The 22,888-nt window shown below is 34.9% G+C and overlaps 1 long non-coding RNA gene across 2 annotated transcripts in view; it reads left to right on the top strand.

The window, feature by feature from the left end:
- ZFPM2-AS1 (ZFPM2 antisense RNA 1) overlaps positions 1 to 22,888 on the top strand; it is a 280,094-nt gene that overhangs the window by 110,521 nt on the left and 146,685 nt on the right. The window contains exon 2 of one of the 2 annotated variants that reach the window (NR_125797.1): positions 22,266 to 22,332. The exons of the other annotated variant lie outside the window; for it this stretch is intronic. This is a non-coding gene — a long non-coding RNA (ZFPM2 antisense RNA 1). The remainder of the gene's footprint in view (positions 1 to 22,265; positions 22,333 to 22,888) is intronic. 2 annotated transcript variants of the gene reach the window in all.

The following is a 22,888-nucleotide window of genomic DNA, read 5'->3' as shown; positions in this document are numbered from 1 at the left end:
TTTGAAGTGCTCAAACTCATTTATTAAAAAAGAAATGCTTAAAAGTTACATAATGATACCATTTTTACCTCCTAAATAGGAAAAACTTAAAAGTTTGCTGACCCACTTCTGTGAAAAAATTGTGGTGTATAGATGCTTTAATACTGGTGGAATATAAAAATATACAAAAGTATATTTAGTAAGATCTATCCAAATTACAAATGTACATTCTCTTTGATCTGATAGTTTCATTTGTATAAATTTATTCTACAAAAATAAACTCACATATGTTTAAAATGACTGACATAAAATGGTATCCATTCCCATGTTGTTAGTAATAGCAAAAGAGAAAAAAACGTAAATATCCATCAGTATGAAACTGGTTGAATAGATCATGGTGAAAGTGTAAAATGGAAGACTATACAATTTGTTAAAGAAGAGGAATATACGAATATTGACTACATGAGATCAAATCTTGGTTCTGTCATTTGAATATCTGTACAACCTTGGGCAGCTTGTGTACAGTCTCTGAGCCTTAGTGTACTCACCTTTAAAATGAGGTTAACAAGAGTACCATCTCAGAGGGTTTGACAGAAAAGATTGAGGCTGTTAAAATACATAAAGCAGTTAGAATAGAAGCCTTGCACATAATTAATATTAGTTACTATTTCCAATTTTATGTACATTTATGAAAATATTTGCAAGATAAATTACGTGAAAAAGTAAGTTTAGACAGTGATATAAGATGCAATCATTTGTACAAAAAAGGGGGAATAACAATCTATGTTTACATTTATTTAAATATTAAGAAAAACATGGAAGAATATAAAAGGAGTCTTCATGTTATGTAATTTTACTGCAGTTTTATATTGCCTATTCAAAAATAAGTAAACATAATGACTCAAAAAGAATAATGCCCTCTCATATTTTTGAACTATAAAATAATAGATAAAAAGATAAAAGTGTTTTTGTAAACTCTAGAACTTTGTGCAGATTAAAATAATAAAATCTAATATTTGAGTGGTTTTTTGTGTGTTAGATGCTGTACTTTTGTCTTACATATACTCTCATTTACTCCTGATAACAATGCTATGAAGTTAGCACTGATTATCATCATTTTCAGTGAGAAGATTGAGGATCCAAAAGATGAAGTACAGATATTTAGGGTTACACAGATAATAAGCAACAGCACTGGGATTCAACTCAGATTTTTCTGACTCCTGCACTTTGGCTCTAGATCATTTTGCTTTGTAAGCCTTGTTCAGGTACGCCCAGTATCATGTCAAGAACCTACTGCAAATGGCTACTTTGAGTCACTGAAGCTCCATGGCCCTGTCTTCTTCTTGCAGACAGGAAGAAGTCTATATTCTGGGCCTCTTTCACTTTCAACAAACAATGGGAGATTTTTATTTGCTACTCTTCATAAAGCCAAATAAGATGGCTAATCCTTTCAGCCTCTTTTATTACTGAGGTTAAGCATCTTTTCATATACTGTACTTACTGTCAGTTTGTATTTTCTGTCCTTTGAAACACCTATTTATACGTTTAGATCCATTGCTTATTGTTATTGTTTTTTCTTCTTATTCTTACTTAGGAGTTCTTTATTTACAGTGTGCTCTCAATGCTAATTCTTTTTAGTTTTTTTTGTGTTGCCAATATTGTCTCTAAGTTTCTGCTTATCATTTTCCTGTCTTTATGGTATCTTGTGATGAATTTCTTAATTTCAATATAATTTAATTTACTAATCTTTTATTTAAGATTGGAGCTTGTTTTTAAAAGCTCTTTCAAAAATTATGAGTGTATTCTCTAGGAAATTTCTTATTGAAATTTTAACATTTAGTCTTGAATCCATCTGGAGTAACTGAGGATATGGTGGGGTAGGTATTCTTTTTATTTTTCCCTATATGTCTACAAATCATTTATTGAATATCCTATCAATTCCTCACTGATATGCAGTATAACCTGTATATGCACTAAGTTTTCATTTATGTTTCTGGGATCTATACTACTGCATGATCAGTCTTCTCTACATTATTGCATTCTCCTTCCTGTTCATCTTGATTAACTTCGGCCATTTTGCCTTTACATATGAACTTAGACTAATTTTGTCAAATTCTATATAAATTATTTTGATTAACTTGGGGATAATTGATATCTTTTCAATACTGAGTCCTCCTTAACTTGGTTACAGTAAATTTTTTCATTAATTGGTTTATCTTAATATCACACAATGAAGTTTTATAATTTATCCCATAAGGTCTGACCCATCTTTTATAATTTATTCTTGATTTTCATATTTTTGTTGCTACTTTAAAAAATATCTGCCTTAAATCAAATATTTGAGCTGTTGCTCTTTTGTGGAAATTCAACTGAAGTTGAAATTAAGTTTATATTCAGCCAGCTAGCTAAACTAATTTATTTTAATCATTTGTCTTTAAGTTCTGTGTCTTCCAGATAGACTATCATCATTTGAGAATAACAGTTTAATTTTTTCCTTTTCTAGTATTTTACCTTTTATTTGTTTTTCCTGGCATATTGTGCTAGTTGAAAATAAGGAATGTAATTATGCATTTTTTTTTCTTGCTTCTGATTTTGAGGGGAAAGCTTTTAATGTTTCTCTACTGTGTAGGATATGTGGTCTTCATTCTGTGATGACATTTCTTCTTTTCCCAGAATACTAAGAGTTTATATAATGAATTGACTTTAGATATTATCAAAGTTAATTCTTTAAATCTGAGATGATTTAATATTTATGTGATAATTTTTAATATATGAAATAATATTAATAGTTTTTAGATGTAAACTTTTATTTATAGAATAAATCATACTTGATATTAGTGTGTTATTTTAAATACATTTTTGAGTTTGATTACTGATTTTGTTAGCTAAAATTTTGTTCCAGATTCATGTGTTATATACAATTATAGTTTCTTATTTACTTATTATTCTTGATGGATTTTTGATATTAAGGTAATACTAGACATGTGAAATGGAATTTTTTCTTATATGTTTTTTGAAATAAAACCATAAGACTATTTCTGTTATTTGAACATTGAATAGAACCTGTCTGTGAACATTTGGGCCTTGTCTTTGTGTGTGTGTGTGGCGGGGGGTTGGAATATAAAAATATTCGATTGCATCAATTTCTATAGCTCCATTTTGTAACATTACAAAAATCATTTAGATTTTCTATTTTCCTCCTATGAGATTTTTAAGACTTTCATTCTCCTAATGGTTTCAATTTACTAGTATTCTTATTTTAATAGGTTCATTATCTTTTTAATCTCAGCTATATCTATTTGTATGTCCTTTTTGCTTCCTTATATTATTTATTTGGTCCCTCTCTTTTTCTTTTAGCAATAGTTCTAGATGTTTTTCAATTTTATTAGTCTTGCTAAAGAACTAACTTTAGTATTTTCATTCCTCTCTTTCTTTATGACTCTTTTCTATTTCATTAATTTCTAGTGCTAGCATTATTATTCCTTTCTTTCAACTTTTTGGGAGGTTTTTCTATTGTTCCTTTTCTGATCTTTCAAGTTTGATGGTTAATGTACAACTATTCAGTATTTCTTCTTTTTTTAAAATGTACATTTTATGTTATAAGTATCTTTCTTGTAATGATTTTTCACAAAAAGTCACGTTTCAACACGTATCATTTTAATTATGATTCAGTTCAATTTTAATTTTGACCTATGAGGTCAAATAAATTAAGTAATTGAAGTAATTAATTACAGTCAAGTTTTTAAGCATTTTAGATGTATCAAGTTTTCTATTATGTTTTTCTGCTTAATTTCAAACTTAATTGTAATGTAGTCAGAGAATGTAGTTTGAAAGAAACTGATTTTTTTAAGTGTTGAAAATTGCTTGTTTACTTAGTACACTGACAGTTTTTATATACATTACATGTGCTTGAAGACAATATGTATTCTTCAGATGTTGAATGCAATATTTTTTCTATATCCATTAGATAAAGTTAATTGTGTGCTCCAAATCTGTGGCATCCTTTCTGATTTCTTTTTCTGCTTGATTTATCAATTGCTCAGAGACAGCCCATTGTAATGAAAAGTTGTCAATTTCTTCATGTACTTATATGCGTTTTTGCTTATATATTTTGAAACCATTTTAAAAATTTTATATTAGTTTAGAATTATATAAGCCTTTTAGTAATAGTCAGTGATTTTCTTTAGCATTTGTTTATTTGGCCTGGAAGTCTATTTGATTTGATGGATTAACATTTTTCTGGTATGTTATGCAATACATTTCCTTTCAAACATTCTGTATTGTTATGTTTTAAGTGTATTGCATAAAAGCAGCAAAAGACTAAAATTTGGGTTTTGCAAGATAACTTTTATGTCTTTTCTTCATACTTATCCAGCTAATTTACTGCCCCAGAAGGCAAGCCTGTATGGACTACATCAGTGGATTCTCACACACCTTCCTTCTGAGATTATTTTCCTTCTTCTGGAGTACATTCTTGAGACATATGTTTAGAGAGGTTCTGTTGGTAGTCAACTTTTTCATTTCTTGTTCTTATGAAAATATTTTCTTTTGGAATGGTTAGGTTCTCCAGCTGCCTAGTAATTTTGGCATCTGGGTTCATTTTCTTTAGAGTTATCAGCTACTCTGTCAGGGAATATACAGAGGAAAGTCCAGCACCCGTTCCTGTCAATCCCAAAGAGCTCAGAGGCTGGGATGGAGAGAGAGGAGGCTTGAGGGACCCTTGAGACAGTCTGCACATATGCTAGAGTGCTCTCCCCCATGATTCCTGCCTTTCAATGTTTGTACCCTTGCATTGTACCTTACCCTTGAGTGCAGACATGACATGTGACTTGCTCCTAACCAATAGAATACAGGAAAGGTGACAGGATGTATGTGATTACATGTGTGTGACTACATGCATACATTTATAGTAACCATCTTCCTGGAGTCTCTTCCTCCGCTGTTGTCTCTAAGGAAGCCACAAGTCATGCTGGGAAACTGCACATGGTCAAGTAGGTGATCTCTAGTGTCTGGGGAGGCCCACAGCTGACAAACTGCAAAGAACTAAAGCCCTCAGTCCTACAAACATTTTTGTTGCTACTTTAAATAATATCTGCCTTAAATCAAATATTTGAGCTGTTGCTGTTTTGTGGAAATTCAATGAAGTTGAAATTCAGTTTATATTCAACCAGCTAGCTAAACTAATTTATTTTAATCATTCTAATGATTTATTAAATCATTAATATTTAATAAATAATATTAATATATTAATTTATTTAATCATCTAAATTCTGTGAAGAACTAGAGTGAGCTTGGAAGTGGAGCCTTGCTTAGTTAAGCCTCCTATGAGACCACAGCACCAAGCAACACTTTGATTATGGCTTCCCAGAGAACCCAGCTAAATCATGCCCAGACTCCTGTCCTGTAGTAAGAAATGTATGTTGTCTTAATGGTAATATTGTTTGACAGCAAGAGAAAACTAATATAGATGAAGAGCTCTGTGAACCATGAAACTACAACCACTCTTCTCCACCCATTTTTCTCAGCATCTCACAGGCGAACCACTTCTGAGCTTGTCTGGTTTTATCCTTGAGGGGACCAGGAAACAGGTAGGTGTGGGTCAGGCATTATTCCCCAAGGCAATAGCTGGAAGAAGCAAAAGCAGCTTTCCAAACAGCTCACCTCTCTATTTTATTTTCTTTAAATCTTTATATATGTTTATAATCTTGACAGGCTATCTCCTATCCTAGGCCAAATCCACACCCCTCCATACACACTAGTTAAAAATAGCTTCCTATCCCCAGCATCACTCCAGGGGTTTCTTCCGGTTTTCTTCATTTTTCCTCCCTAGTTCCTTTAGAATTGATAAGGCAGAATAATTCGTTCACCATTTTAGCCTCTCTCACAACTTTATACTCTTCATCTTGGCTTGAAGATATCTTCATTTCATTCTTTTTCTTAAACGGTAGTTACACTGTTTATAAAAATCTAGGTTGAGAGTTATTTTTTGTCAGTATTTTGAAGATATTAATACACCATCTTCTGACTTTTATTGCTGTTTAGAAATTAGCCCTGTGGAAATTATTATTCTTTTGTAGGTAAAGTGTCCTCTTACCACCTCCCTCTGTCCCTTCAACTCCAGCCGGGGTTGTTATACAGAAATAACCTTAAAATAAAATAAAATTTAAATTTAAATTAAAAAAATCTTCTCTTTATCTTTAATGTTCTGCAGTTGAAATACAATATGTGTGATATGGATTTCTTTTTATTATTATGTTTAGTGTTTGTTAGGTTCTGTTAAATATAAAGAATGAGGTTTTTCATTGATTCTAGAAAGTTCTGAGCCACTAACTCTTCAAATATTGCTTCTTCACCATAATCTCTTTTTTCCTCCTGAAATAATTAAATGTATATTCAATATTTTTCTTCTCATTTTACCTTTTTATATTTCCTATCAGTACATCTCATTGTCTGCATTCTAAGCAGTTTGCTTGAGAGTTATCACTAGTTGAGAAATTCTTTCTTCATCTCAGATTAATCTGCTAGGCAACACATCCATTGAGTCTCTAGTAGCAATCATTAATTTTTTCCCTTTCAGATTACTTTATTGTTAAAGCTTCCTAGTTATTTTTAAAAGTCTTTTATTTATGTATTATAATTTTAGTATCTACTTTGATTTCTTTAAAGATTAAAAAATTACTATTTTTATGTTCCATATTTGGTAATTTAAATTTAAATACCTGCAGTTTAAGTGAGATTCAATTTTTAAAATTATTACATCGGATTGCTTGGAACATGGTTCTTTCATTTTATTAATTAATTATTTATTTTTGAGGCAAGGTCCCATTCTGTTGCTCAGAGTGGGGTACAATGTTGCAATCCTAGGTCATTGCAGCCTTGAACTCCTAGGCTCAAGTGATCTTCCCACCTCAGCCTCTCAAATAACTGGGACTACAGGCTCATGCCACTGCACCCAGCCTTATTTCATTTTATTTTTTTATACTCGGGTTTAAGATGCCCTCTCCCAGAAAGGATTTGCATTGGTTTTTCAAGTCATCTAGGATCAACATTAAACTAATGACCCATAATGGCTTTCACTGTAGAGACATGTATTTTCTATTTCTTCTCTGCAGAGAGTTAAAATATAACAAATAAATAACTTCACTGTCTTCTTTTGTATTTTCCCGTTTTTGTGTTTTATGTTGTGTGGTTTCCATTGGAGGTATATTGATTTTATACAAGAGTCTCTGATCTGAACTCTCAAGTTACAACAAGATTTTGTCTTTTCTCCTTTTTGGGCAAAGTATGTTTGAGTCCAGTCTGTGCACTGCCAGGTATCAGCAGGTGCTAGGAGGAGAATAGCAGCTCCAGCCAATCCTTTTCTCTCCAGATTTGGGTGCCCTCATTCTATCTGAACTTCTGGAATTACTCTTACTTTTATGCCAACTCAGCCATGCAGTTGAAAATATTTTTAAAGTTTTTTTATCCAGAAATTTTAGCTGTTGATACCAGAAATGCTGTCCAGACACCTTATATTATAATTGCCGAATAATGTGTGTGTGTGTGTAATTAAATCCATGTATTAGTAAAATATTTCCTCCCTTCATAAAATATTTATTGAGAAGCCACTATGTGACAAATACTTTAATGGGCCCGGGACATATAAAGCTGATAGAGGCTCTCATGGATCTTACTGTGTAGTGTGTGATATAGATAAGTAAACAGTAATAACAATTCAGTGTGAGAAATAGTATGGCATAGGAAATACAGGAGGTTCCAGGAGTGCCTAAGAAGAACATTGCCTCAGACCTTGAGGATTAGTTAGGAAAGGCTTCCAGAAGAAAATGACATCTAACATTATTTGGAAAAAATGCATTCCCTTTAAAGCTTTTTTCCCTCCATCTTTTAGCTTCCTTTCACTACTATCCTAACAAAATGCCTGTTTTCACTTCTCTGTGCTCCCCTTTTGGGATCTTATGTTGTGGTTTTTCCTTTGAGAGTGAAAGGAAAGGAAAGAAAATTAGAAATACGTTCAGCCATTACTCTGTTGTTATTTAATAGCATTTGATTTTATCTGTTCTATTTTCTGGAAAGTCCTGCTCTGTTCATGTCCACTGACATGATCATACTGCCTTCTGGAGGGATAATTTAGCAATGATTTTAAAAATATGTACAAAATTTTGAAACATTTAAAAAGAAACAAATTCGTTTAAAATGTAACTGAAGTTTGGAAGGAAAGAAAGGGAGCGTAATTGTACATAATTGCACTAGCTCAAAATTCATAACCTTATTAGTTATCCGAAAATGGACTTTAGAGAAGTACGACTTACTCTTTTTCATATTGAAGAAAAGCTATTTAATTTTTACTTCATTTTATTTTAGCTTTGAATCTTCATATATCTCAAAGAAAAAGTTAGCATTTGGAGGTATAAGACTGCATAAAAAGGTAAATTTTTGACAAATCCAAATATAGGACTTTTCTAAAAAATTAAAACAAATTCAAGTCTTTTTATTTCTCCTTTTATAAGCTTCTTTTAGAGTGAAGATTAGAAGAGCACGGTGAAAAAATTCTTTTTTATTTTTAAGATCGTACATTTTGTTATTTTATGCTGAAGCTAAGTTATATTGACAGTGTTTATATAATACTTAATAAATATTAATTCTTTATTTTGTTGGACAAATCAAAAATTGTGGTAATCTGTTTACACCTAAGAAATTTTTCTCATTTTAAAATAAAGAATTTTTTTTTTTTTTTTTTTTGAGACAGAGTCTGGCTCTATTGCCCAGGCTGGAGTGCAGTGGTATGATCTCAGCTCACTGCAACCTCCACCTCCCAAGTTCAAGTGATTCTCCTGCCTCAGCCTCCTGAGTAGCTGGGATTACAGGCGTGTGCCACCACACCCAGCTAATTTTTGTGTTTTAGTAGAGACGGGGTTTTGCCATGTTGGCCAGGCTGGTCTTGAACTCCTGACCTCAAGCGATCCACCCACCTCGGCCTCCTAAAGTGCTGGGATTACAGGCATGAGCCACTGCGCCTGGCCGAAATAAAAACTTTTGAAATAAAAAGAGTTGGCCTAAAAATATGTATTTACATGCTTTCAGCAAATAACTAGTAATTGAAGATGGCTAAGTTTATCTGAATTCTAGACTATATTCATTTTATTAGATACAAACAGTTTAGTTGCCAAAATGAAAACAGCATAGACGTAAACAAAATCCATCGATGGTTTGATTGAAGTGTAGTAAAGACATCAGAGTAATTTCTGTCGAGTGCATTGAAGAGTCAGAGGCTCTTTTAGGTCTGTCCAAATCATGAATTTTATCTTATGCACGGGTGTTCATTATATTGAGTTTTGTCCTCATTTAATTACTACAGGAACAAATTATGTTCTACTGGGACTTTGAGACGGACAGTTGATGACCCTATAGCATTGGGGATTAGAGATAAGATGAAATGGAGTAGGATTTTCACATAAATGATCATATACCCTACCGATATCTCCAGACTCCTGATTCAAGTGTCTCTAAGAGGCTTAACCAGTTATTAAACACATGACCAAAATGACAAGTGATAAACTATAAAAGATATCCTTTAAAATGAAGGTGTAAGTAAAGAAAGTCAATAGGTAAATATAAAGTGGTGTATTCTTGGGATCAGAGGATTTGTGGTTTTGGTTGTCATCTCTTTCTCTCAATGGATGAAGATCACCAAATAAAGATCACCAAATTAAAGTAGATAACTAATATAAATAGTTAAAATGCCCCCAAGCTTTTAAGACAAAAATAATCATTCAAGCCACTTCATTGCAACAACGATGGCCAAATCTATTTAAATAACTCTATCTACTTTGTGCTGCCACTCCATCTTGTGGCCAAATTCCAGCCAATACTTGAAAAGAATTTTAAATGAAAACAGAACACGAACTCTTAGTGAAGAGACGTCGTGGGTAAACTAACATCAAGTTTGAACCAGTTCTATGTGCTTCAGCATTTTTAACAAGGTAACCACATTTTAAAAAGATGATTGACAAGCTAATGTACTGCCAGAGGATGAAAGCCATTATGGCAAGATATTAACAAACCATGCTTTATTAGGAAACAGCCAAATGATGCAAGGGACATTCATTTATTTAACAAATATTTGTTGAAAACGTATGTATCAGGCACTGTTTTAGGATTGGACTTTATTGCCATGAATGAAACATAAGCATTTCTGTCTCATGGAGTGTATATTTTACAAGGGAAAACAGATAACAAATGATCTAAATATCTAGGGTACAAGATAGGCATAAAAAGTTGAGTCTTCTCCTCTCAGTATGACTCTCATAAGAAAAGTTTGCAAGCTTTGGGGGCCATTTTTAAAGTGTAGATAATAATAAAAATTTAGCCAATATCAATATATTGCACATGGGCTCAAAACACAATTTAAACCAAATGATAGAATTCTGAAATGATGACACAAGAAAGTTTAAAACAAATATTGTGATGTGTTTTTCACATTGGGGCAACTAATGAATTACCAGAAATTTCGTTTCCTTATTAAAAGGAATCTTAATTTCCCACAGATGATTAGTTTTAATGTTCAAATATGTATGAAATGATAGGTATAATGCTCAACAGATTTAGCCTCCTCATAGGGAAACAGAAGGCCTTTGGTGCAAGAATTTCTCCCTGTCTGAAATGTCACAGTACCCCAAATTTGGATGTGGAGAGGAGACTTGAGTTAAGTGAAATATACAATGGATGAAAAGACGAAGGGAGTAGAGATAAGCTGGTGGGCAACTAGATGGGAACCTCAATTGTGTGGACACGGGGGTAGGCAGCAAGATGGAAGGTATGTTAGGAACAAGTGTAGAATGGCCAACTAATCTAACTAGTTTTTTCCTAGAGCTGATGCTGGGCACAGAAGGGCATACTGAAAGATAGTGGAGCTTTGTCATATTCATGTTCAACTTGGAAGCAATTCAACATTATAAAAATTTAGATAGGTTGGGTGTGGTGGCTCATGCCTCTAATCCCAACACTTTGGGAGGTTGAGGCGGGCAGATCCCCTGAGGTCAGGAGTTCGAGACCAGCCTGGCCAACATGGTGAAACCCCGTCTCTACTAAAAATACAAAAATTAGCCAGGTGTGGTGGCAGGCACCTGTAATCCCAGCTATTCAGGAGGCTAAGGCAAGATAATTGCTTGAACCGGGGAGGCAGAAGTGGCTTGAGCCGAGATTGCGCCATTGCACTCCAGCCTGGGCAACAAGAGCGAGACTTCATCTATGTATATGTATATATATATATATATATATATATATATATATATATATATATATATATATATATAAAGTTAGATGGTAGTTGTGGAAAGGGTATGGGCCTTGAACTCATACCAAAGAGGCCAGAACTGGTGGCTCACACCTGTAATCCCAGCACTTTGGGTGTTCATGGCGGGCAAATTGCTTGAGCCCAGGAGTTCAAAACTAGCCTGGACAACGTGGCAAAACCCCATCTCTACAAAAAATAATAAAATAAAATAAAACCAGCTGGGCCAGGTGGCTCACACCTGTGGTCCCAGCTACTTGGGAGACTGAGGTAGGAGAAATAGCTTGAATCTAGGAGGTCGAGGGTGCAGTGAGCTGAGATTGTGCCACTGCACTCCAGCTTGGGCAACAGAGCAAGACCCTATCTATAAAGAAAAGAAAAGAAAAAAAAAAAAGAAAAAAGAAAATCATACAAAAGAGTTTAAATCCTTACTTTTGTCATTTACCCACTGGGTGGCTTTGGAAAAGCCATTCAAAATCATTTGAATGATAGTTTAATCATTTATAAAAAGATGACTGTAATATCTCAGAAGATCATTGAGGCCATTAATGGAAAATATATGCAAAACAACTGAGGATCTGACATGTAATCAATAAATTGCCTGCATAATATTAAATTGGAGTCTGAATGTAATTGCCATCAGCATCTCACACACATCTCAAGACAAAATTGTTGTTTTTTGTACTGTGTACAAGTACTCATTGAGTGGGGCCAATTTTTGGATTTAGAACTTTTCTGACGAAAGCACTGATTGAGTCCTTCAACATTTTCTTAGTTTTTTCTTTTTTTTTTTTTTTTAACACATCTGATTGTCTCCTGGTGATGTAGATTCTATGTTCATAAAATGCTCACTGACTCAATGATACAATTCCCTCTTTAGTTGTTTACTATTAAAAAACATATTTCAAGAGAACACAACTCCAACCACAAAAGCATTTTGAGGAAAGTGAAAATCAACAAAGGAGCAGGACCTGCACTGTGGAATGTATTTCTAGGCATTGACAAGCCAACATATTTGATTCTGTTTAAGAACCTTCTGTAAATTTTGGAGTCCTCATTAAGTACAGAAACAAAAATGAGGAAAAAACTGCCAAGCGGGGTTTGGATTTGTATTTTCATATGTTATCTCATGTATTAGTCTATTTTCACACTGCTATAAAGAAGTACCCAAGAATGGGTAATTTATAAAGGAAAGAGGTTAATTGACCTCTTCCACATGGCTAGAGGAGGCCTCAGGAAACCTATAAACATGGCAGAAGGTGAAGGGAAAGCAAACACCTTTTCACATGGTGGCAGGAGAGAGAAGATTGAGTAGCGAAGGGGGAAGATCCCCTTATAAAACCATCAGATGTCGTGAGAACGAACTCACTATCATGAGAACAGCATGGGGGAAACTGCTCCCATGATCCAATCACCTTCCACTGGGTCTTTCCCTAAACACATGAGGATTATGAGGATTACAATTCAAGATGAGATTTGGGTGGGGACACAGCCAAACCGTGTCATATCAATAGACCTGCTCTTGGTTTCAATTGGATAAACTTAGACTTAGATATTGTAAGTATGCATTTCCAGAGCAGCATTACAAATATTTGAAATGGTACATTTGGATCAAGTAAAAAGAACTAGCTTCTTATACACTTTTATTAAGAAGTTATTTATCATCTACCTTTGATCGTATCCTCTTAGGAAAAAACATATTTACATTTTTGTTCATTGGGCAAATATTTATCTCATTTACTTGTGTATTTCTTATAAGCCACCGATTTGCAATATGCTACATTTACATTTTCTCATTTGTTGCATCAGTTATAAAGGAGGAGGAAAGGAATAATAGGATTTGTTTGGTAATTTGTACTCTTACAGCTTTCTCTGAGTAGTTGTCCCAAAGCATTAAAAAATGCTTCAGAGTCTTGCATAAATTGTAACTGCACTGATATGCTTTCTTTCTTTTCTCACAAGGAGAAAGGTTATTAAAAACAGAGAAAGATCAGACTCTTCAACGCATTCTGAAGAGTGTCTCACACAGGGAATAAACTCAATAAGCAGTTGGTTAATATAAAAATGAATAGATGAATGAATCAGAATGTTTAAATATGTTATTTAAGAATCTATGATCTTTTCCTAAAAATATTATTTCTATAGTTCAGAAAACATTAAAAATTCAGTATCATGAGAAAAATGAAGTGTTTCATTAAGCATTCAATCAAAAAAAAATGAAGCTGACCACTTATAACCCTAAGCATGTTGAAAATGGTATTATTTCCAAAATTGATTATACACTATTCAAGCTGAGGGGGTCACCATTCTCAGTGTAAATGACTGTATTGTAATTTTATACAACGAGGCTCCCAGGGCTAATCCAACAGGTAGGACTTAGTCATGGAATATTGGATATTCAGGTTTCCTTTTTTGTTATTTTGCTTTTTGGAGACAAGGTCTTGCTCTTTTGCCAAGACTAAAGTGCAATGGCACAATCATGGCTAATAACAACCTAGACATCCTGGGCTCAACAGATCCTTCCATCTCAGCATCCCAAGTAGCAGGGACCACAGGCATACACCAACATGCCCAGCTAAGGTTTTAAATTTTTTGTAGAGGCTGGGTCTTGCTACGTTGTCCAGTCTAAAATTTCTTACCACCAATTTTTAGATTTTATTTTTGTCTTCCCCATCACACTTAGGCTGAAAGCACTTACTGTTTGTTGCAAAAGGTATCTGTCTTTAGAAGCATTCATTTGTCCTCTTATTATTGCTGGCCTTTCATGTTTTTTGAGTTTCTAAACTAGATCATTCAACACTTCAGATCACATGTAAAATGTCATGGGCATTCCTATGAATTAAGTGCATGAATTTTATGATATCTTTTTGTAATGTCCAGATTATTTTGCTCATTTTTTGAGTACTTGGCCAATCTAAGCCACTGAGTTCACCGGACTGGCCAGAATAATTTAAGTATTGCCATCATCACATCGTACAGGTGCTGCTAACTAGCAAGCTGTTCTTAATCATTGACATCTCTCTTTTTTTCTAGGCCAGATCCTTCTGTATAAATTAACAATAATTCGGCTGGGCATGGTGGCTCACACCTGTAATCCTAGCACTTAGGTAGGCCAAGGCAGGTGGATCACTTGAGGTCAGGAGATCAAGACCAGCCTGGCCAACATGGCAAAACCCCATCTCTACTAAAAATACAAAAATTAGCCAGGTATAGAGGTGCACACCTGTAATCCCAGCTACTCGGGAGGCTGGCACATGAGAATTGTTTGAACCTGGGAGGCAGAAGCTGCGGTGAGCCAAGGTCGCACCAGCCTTGGTCACACTGCACTCCAGCCTTGGCAACATAGTGAGACTCTGTCTTTAAAAAATAAAATAAATTAGATTAAATTAATTCACAATAATTCCTCTCTTCTAAGCCTATCCAAATTAGATCTATCTGACCCCACACAAAAAGTCCCAAGCGCAGTGACTTCTCAAACAGGTTGTAGAAATATGAGTTTGGGGCTCCTGGGTTAATACACAGTACTCGGTATGACATACATATGTGAAAAAAGACACAAACTACTATAGTAACAGCTCCTTGAGTTATTAGCATTTGCAACCACTCTGAAAAGTGGATTTCCTTCTTGACATTTTAAAAATAAGGAAGTTGATGAGCATTTTTTCATGTGTCTGTTGGCTGCATAAATGTCTTCTTTTCAGAAGTATCTATTCATATCCTTCACCCACTTTTTGATGGGGTTGTTTGTTTTTTTCTTGCAAATTTGTTTGAGTTCTTTGTAGATTCTGGATATTAGCCCTTTGTCAGATGAGTAGATTGCAAAAATTTTCTCCCATTCTGTAGGTTGCCTCTTCACTCTGATGGTAGTTTCTTTTGCTGTGCAGAAGCTCTTTAGTTTAATTAGATCCCATTTGTCAATTTTGGCTTTTGTTGCCATTGCTTTTGGTGTTTTAGACATGAAGTCCTTGCCCATGCGTATGTCCTGAATGGTATTGTCTAGGTTTTCTTCTAGGGTTTTTATGGTTTTAGGTCTAACATTTAAGTCTTTAATCCATCTTGAATTAATTTTTGTATAAGGTGTAAGGAAGGGTTCCAGTTTCAGCTTTCTACATATGGCTAGCCAGTTTTCCCAGCACCATTTGTTAAATAGGGAATCCTTTCCCTATTTCTTGTTTTTGTCAGGTTCATCAAAGATCAGATAGTTGTAGATGTGTGGTATTATTTCTGAGGTCTCTGTTCTGTTCCATTGGTCTATATCTCTCTATTTTGGTAGCAGTATCATCCTGTTTTGGTTACTGTAGCCTTGTAGTATAGTTTGAGGTCAGGTAGCATGATGCCTCCAGCTTTTGATGAGTTCATGTCCTTTGTAGGGACATGGATGAAGCTGGAAACCATCATTCTCAGCAAACTGTCGCAAGGACAAAAAACCAAACACCGCATGTTCTCACTCATAGGTGGGAATTGAACAATGAGAACACTTGGACACAGGAAGGGGAACATCACACACAGGGGTCTGTTGTGGGGTTGGGGGAGGGGGGAGGGGGGAGGGATAGCATTAGGAGATATACCTAATGTAAATGACGAGATAATGGGTGCAGCACACCAACATGGCACATGTATACATATGTAACAAACCTGTGCGTTGTGCACATGTACCCTAGAACTTAAAGTGTAATAAAAATATATATATATAAAAAAAAATAAGGAAGTTGAGGGTCAGAGAAGCTAAGTATATTGCCAAAAGTCAGAGTTACAAAGCCATGAAGTCAGGATAAAAATTTCAGTTTGTCCGTTTTCAGAGACTGTGCATTTTCCTGGGCTCCACATGGTCTCTACATTTGAATTCAAAATTTATAAATAACTTTATGTGTAATTCTATATGTTGTTGCCTACAGTGACAGAACTTTTTGACTAATTTATGAATTTTCTATTTTGAAGTTATTTATAATGTGTCACCCTGAGGGTTGTTATGAAGATGTATATGAAAAAAATATGCTTGAAGAAATTGTGCATAGTATAAAGCCCTGTACTACTTTTATTTATTATCATTGTATGGTTTTGCCCAGAGACGTTTCAACAGAGGAACATAATTTAAAGGTTTTAAAGTAGAAGCAGCCCGAGTGGCCACATAGGCAGAAACAATTTAAAGGTGACGACCCTATCTAGTGAATTAGGCCAAAGCTGAATTGGCATTTCCTTAAGCTCAAGAATGATGGGCCTTGAGTAGTCAATTCCACAATATCTGAGAAAATGAGATACCTAATCTGGGGCATATACATTCTGCTAGACCTACACCTTAAGCAATTGTCACTATGAACAAGAAACAGAACTAAGGATGTCCCTTTCTTTAGCACTGAAGTGTCTAAAACCCAAAAAGTAGGATCATTCCTAGAAAATCTTGATATCTCTCTGTGACAGTATTATTGTGCCTCTCAGGACAGGTAAAGACTAAGAATCAAGATGTTGCAATAGCAACATCTGCTGGTATTTTTGTAAAATTACACAAACCAACTGAAAAAGATTTTTTCCTAGTGACAGTTTTCTTTAAATGAGTTGCTGGACTTTGATTTATGGGCTACAGTACACACAGTAATGGAGCATGAGTATTGTGGGGGTGCAAATAGGGAGAATCAGTGGGCTGTTGGACGAATAAAAGGTGGTGTTTCAGAACAGAGACACACTTTATTTACACTGACATAAAAAAAACAGATCAACGAAGAGTAGAACCCAAAAACCTAAAGCTAAATTAAAAAATGAATGAATGAAAAAATTAGGCTTCTATATGACAGTGATTAAAACAAATACACACAGAACATTCTAATGATCAGAATGAGCATACAGTGGTTCTCGGGTTACCTGCAACCTGTACCCTGCAGTTTCCAGTAACCCACTCATCCACTCACTCTTCCAACAATTATTTATTGAGCACCTACTCTGTGTTATAATTTTTCTGAGTGCTGGAAATACAATAATGAACAAAGCAAGACCTTTCCTTAATGGAGCTTACTTTCTAGATTGGGGTGGGCTGGGAACGGGGAAAATAAATGAGTAAATTTACATCATCTGGCACTAAGTGATATAGGGATAAAGAAGCAGACAGGGGACAGAGTCATGAGGAGAGGCACTCCTTCATATAGGTAAGCAGGGAAATCCTCCCTTATAAGAGACATTTGAGTGGAGATGTGAAGTACATGTAGGGGTACAAGTGAGCCATGCAGTAGGGGAAGAGTGTTCTGGATAGACAGAACAGCAAGTGCAAAGCCCTGAAACAGGCAAAATTTGAGTACCATCAAGGTTTTGACTGATTTGAGGACCATCAAGGAAGACTATGGAACTGAATTAAAGTAGAAACAGTGGAACATGACAGTGGACTGGCAGTAAGGGGACAGACTCTGGGGTCTTTAGGTCAGAGTAAGAAATTGGCCTTTCCTCTGCATGAGAAAATAAGTCATCAGAAGGATTTGGGACAAAGAAGGAACACAGGGAGGAGAAGGGAAGCTATTGGTTACAATGAATAGAAATGTTTGACATGCGGGAATATATTCAGGTATTATCATTGATAAGTAGAGGAACATCTCATACTACCACCCTCAAGCTGTTGTAATCCTGAAGCCACTATCCCATCCCAGCCTTTTTTCCTGAATATTCTTCCCCTTGTTAGGCTTGGCTAGAAGATGAATGGGCATAATTTTTCAGCTGTTCTATTATAGTTCATCTACAGATATTAATAAAGTTAATGAGATCATTGCTGACTCAGAATTCTGGCATACAAGTACTATGCATTATTACCTGGCTGAGTATTTTGCTTTTCATTAAAATATACACTGAATATTTGAATGCTTTTGACATATTAAAGCAAAGAACAATGCAACATGAACCAATGTGGGATATAAACTAGCATGATGGTAGAAGATTAAAGATCAACAAGAAATAAAAGATGATAGTTCAAATTATACCAGACTTTTCTATTAAATCCCTGCATGCACACACCTCACAGGCCTCTTATGCTTCATTTACCCCAAAGATGAGTTCATGATCTTCACTCCTAGTATTCAAATCTGCTCTTTTTATTGTGATCCCTATTTTGGTAAATGGTACCACCTCTTATCCAATTTCATGTGTCTGAAAATTCTTCTCTACATTTTCCTTTACATCTTCCTCTCTAATACACTATACCCCTAATCAATCACCAAATGCTATTGTTTATCAAATTATTTTTATTATCAAATTATTTTTATCTACGTTAACCCAGACCCCTTTTTACCATATATGTCCAAGCCACTATTATTGCTCACTTAGAGCATTATAATTGATCTATGTTTGACTTCTGTTTTGTTCACTCTGTCCACACCTCTTCTATGTCATTCTCTACCCAGTATATTATGATGTCTCCACTCTGCCTAAAATCCTTATTGGCTTCCAATTATCCTTAGGAAAAAGTTAAAAATCCTTAATATTGTTCCTTCAGAATTACACATCCAAAACTGACAGTTTCCTCTGTGTTGCAGGCTCTTAGCCCCGTGAAAGGTGTATTAAACTCCTTCTTACAGGCTATAAAACCTCATAGTCCACTTAATCCACAATATCGTATCCTAATAAATCCATTTATTTATCTTGATTTGCAAATTTTCTCAAACATCTTTTATTTTAAAAATTCTGAAAATATCAACAAGCATCAATGAAAAATTATTTTGAACATAACACTGATAAGTAAAATACCTACCTGCCTAACCGTTTTCTTTATTAATGTTACCTTTCTAAGATTATGGACCCCAAACTTACAGCAGTATACTTTTTTTAACTTTTATTTTAAGTTCAGGAGTACATGTGAATGTTTCTAACATGGGTAAACTTGTGTCAAGGGAGTTTATTGTACAGATTATTTCATTGCCCAGGTATTCAGCCTAGTACCCATTAATTATTTCTCCTGATCCTCTCCCTCCTCCCACCTCTACCCTCCCAGAGGCTCCCATGTTTCTTGTTCCCCTCTGTATGACCATGGGTTCTCATCATTTAGCTGCCACTTATAAGTGAGAACATGTTGGCACTTGGTTTTCTGTTCCTGTGTTAGTTTGCTAAAGATAATGGCCTCCAGCTCCAAACATGTCTCTGCAAAGTACATGATCTCATTGTTTGTTATGGCTGCATAGTATTCCATGGTGTATATGTACCACATTTTCTTTATCCAGCCTGTCACTGATGAACATTTAGGTTGATTCCATGTCTTTGCTATCATGAATAGTGTTGCAGTGAACATGTGCATGAATGTGTCTTTGTAATAGAATTATTTATATTCCTTTGGGTATATACCCAGTAATGGGATGCAGTGTGCTTTTTCAAGTGCAATTCAAGTATAACTAAATTTGAGATGAGAGAGAGGGCCAGTCCTCACTTGTTTCTCCCTGGCTTTCATGACAACACCACACTGATTAATAATAAATAATAACAGCATATTTTGGCCATCCAGGTAATTAGTTTGCCATTTAATTGTCAACAAAAGTGACAAAGAGGAATTAATATTACAGTTGAAATGGAAAAAAGGGCTTGTTGTCTAGTATAAATAAATCTCCAACATAATGCAACTGATGAAAACAGACCTAGGTTAGAACCTTGTGTAAACTAATTATTATGTTACTTTAGGCAAATTATTTAATCTCTATGAAATTTTCTATTTCTTCATTTAAAGACAGGATATTTGAAAAGAGAAAAACTCTCTTTATGGGATGAAAATAATAAATGAACGAGTACATATAAAACAAATGATAATTAGCCAATAGTAAGCAAATGTCAAACCTCCTACACCAAATCACATATGAATCACATATATATGACTTAAAACCTCATAGATTTTGTAGATTAATGACTTTAAAAAGAATAGTAGTATAAATTAAATAAAATACTTTTACCCTTGTAATATGAAATGCCACTGGCTTCAGAATAATTGTATTAGAAACTGGTCAAAAAGAAAACCCAGTGATCAACTGTAAATATCAATCTGTTCTTGATTAGCTGAACACCCATTGCTGCTACTTCCCTGGTTGGAGCTAATCACAGGTGTTCTCATACACTGAAGGGGCTGCTTACCTATGTAGGGCTCACAGGGTAATAATATAAGAGAATTATGTGTCATGTGTTCTAAGTGCACTGTAGCACCAGCTGTTCTTTCCTGTCATTTGTATTCACTAAAGCTGGTATGTCTGTTTTTTATTCCCTTTTAAATATAGACATGATGATGCAATCAGATAAAATATCCTATTGCTTTCATCATTATTTTCAATGATTTTTTACTAAAATCTGCAATTTTTAAATTTCTCCACTTTATTTCACATGGAGGTGAAATGACCATTAATTTAAGTGAAAATTATACAGCAGGATTTTTAGGCATTATTGTATGAAAAGACCATGTTTTGCTAACATGGTTCTCCTCTTCTCTGAAATGTAGTGTCTGATAAAGTAAAAATAAAAATGCATTGCAGTTAGGCCCAAAGGTAGTGAATTATCTCAATTGATTGTTCACAGTCAGTTATACATTGAACTCCTTGTTCTACTTTTTCCCTGCTTCTCACTACTGCACTCAACTAGTCTTAAAATAAACACATTGAAGTAGAAATTGACTACAAATAGATAATTCAAATCTGTGTCAAAATTTGTGGGATACACACAGAGCAGTGCTTGGATGGAAACAGAATTTTATGTACTTATATTGGAAAAGAAGAAAGATCTAAATTCAACGACTTAAGGTTGCACTTCACAAAGCTAGAAAAAAAAAGCAAAAATAAACTTAAAGTAAGTAGGTAGGAGGAAATAATAAAGGGCAGAAATCAAGAAAGTAGAAAACATAGAGACAATGGAAAAAATTAAGAAAGCCAAAAGCTAACTCCTTGAAAAAGTAAGCAAAATTCACAAGCTTCTAGGTAGACTTAAGTAAAAAAGAGAGGAAATAAAAATCATCAATAGCAGGAAAGAAAAAGCTTTCCTGTAACATAATATGATAGAATCTGCACCACAGATCCTACAGATATTAAAAGGATAATAAATAAAGAGTGTGAGCAAATTTAGGTCAGCACATTTGACATCTTAGATAAAAGAGACCATTTTTTGTCTTTCATACTGTTCTTGCTACCATTGCTGCATAACAAACCACCTCAAAACTCAGTGGTATCACATTCAACAGTTCTCTGGGTCAGGACTCCAGAAAGGGCACAACAGGGATAGTTTTTTTTTTCTGTTCCAAGATGCCTGGAGCCTCAGCAGGAAAGACTAAAAAACTGAGGGCAAATTTAAAGCTGGAGCTGGGAATCTTCTGCAAGTATTTTCACTCACATGTTTGGAAGATGAGCCTGGCTGCTGGCTGGCCCCTGAGAAGTGGGCTGTTAACTGGGAACCCACATGTGACATCTCCATGTGCCGTGGGCTTCCTCACAGCATGGCAACTTCAGAGTAATTGCATTTCATACATGGAAGCTCTGGTCTCCAAAGGTACCGTTCTACCCACAAGGAAGAAGCTGTATCACTTTCTGAAGTACACTCAAAGTCAGTCAGCTTCACTTCTGCTATATTCATTTCAGATTCCAGAAAATTTGACAACTTAGATAAAAGGGGTCATTTTTGTTTTTCTTACTGTTCTTGCTACCATTGCTGCATAACAAACCACCCCAAAACTCAGGGGTTTCAAGCAATCATTTTTTCACGTTCACCAATTCTCTGGGTCAGGACTCTAGACAGAGTGCCACAGGGATAGGTTATTTTGTTTTGTTTTGCTTCTGCTTTTTGTTTTTTTTCTGTTCCAAGATGTCTGGGGCCTCAGAAGGAAAGACTAAGAAACTGGAATCACCTGCAAGTATAGGATATCCACCTTTGATATGATTTTTGGCTTAAGGCTCTTTCTTTGAGAATAGTTTGCTGCTGAAACTATCCTGTAAAGTGTACAGGATAGTTTCCTGTACCTTCCTCCAAATTTTACTCAAAAACTCTTTCGTCTCTCATTCTATTACAGGTGGCTCAAAGAGGTCAGGAGGCACCTTCAACACTTTTATTGGAGATCTCCTTGTCTAGATCATCAGGTTTGTCAGGTGTATATTTTCTATTTTTATGTTGTCACATGGAACAATTTTGCTAAATTTTGTAATACTTTAAAAAAAATCTTTTTTACCCCAGCTTCCAATAACACTTATCTCCCTGTCCTTCCAGCTTGCATAATTGTCTCCCTCGGTATCATCTGGCCTTTACTGACAGCCTTCCCAAGGCTCTTCTGGCTCCCATCTAATCCAGTTTCAGAGCCAATGCCATGTTTTTGTCATGTTAGCTTCCTACTTCCAGCTCCCAAATTTCTGTCCCACTTATTATTACTAAATAACGATGACCCCAAGTTTACTGGTCTAGTTATTGTACTGGCTTAAACCAACTGCTTTATGATTTTCACAAATTTGTGGAACAGAGATTCAAACAAAGCACAGTAAGGATACAGAAATGACTTTCTCTTGCTCAATGATGTCTAGGGTCTCTTCTGGGAAGACTAAAAAATTGTTGGCTTTTAATGAGTGAGCGCTAGAATCCTCTGGAGGAGTATTTATTCACTTGTCCAGTAGTTGTTACTGACTGTTGTCTGAGTCCTCTGGG

The sequence above is a fragment of the Homo sapiens genome, chromosome 8 (genome assembly GCF_000001405.40).
Source record: "Homo sapiens chromosome 8, GRCh38.p14 Primary Assembly".
Taxonomy (NCBI): Eukaryota; Metazoa; Chordata; class Mammalia; order Primates; family Hominidae; genus Homo; species Homo sapiens.
This window is presented reverse-complemented; position numbering and strand designations above follow the sequence as displayed.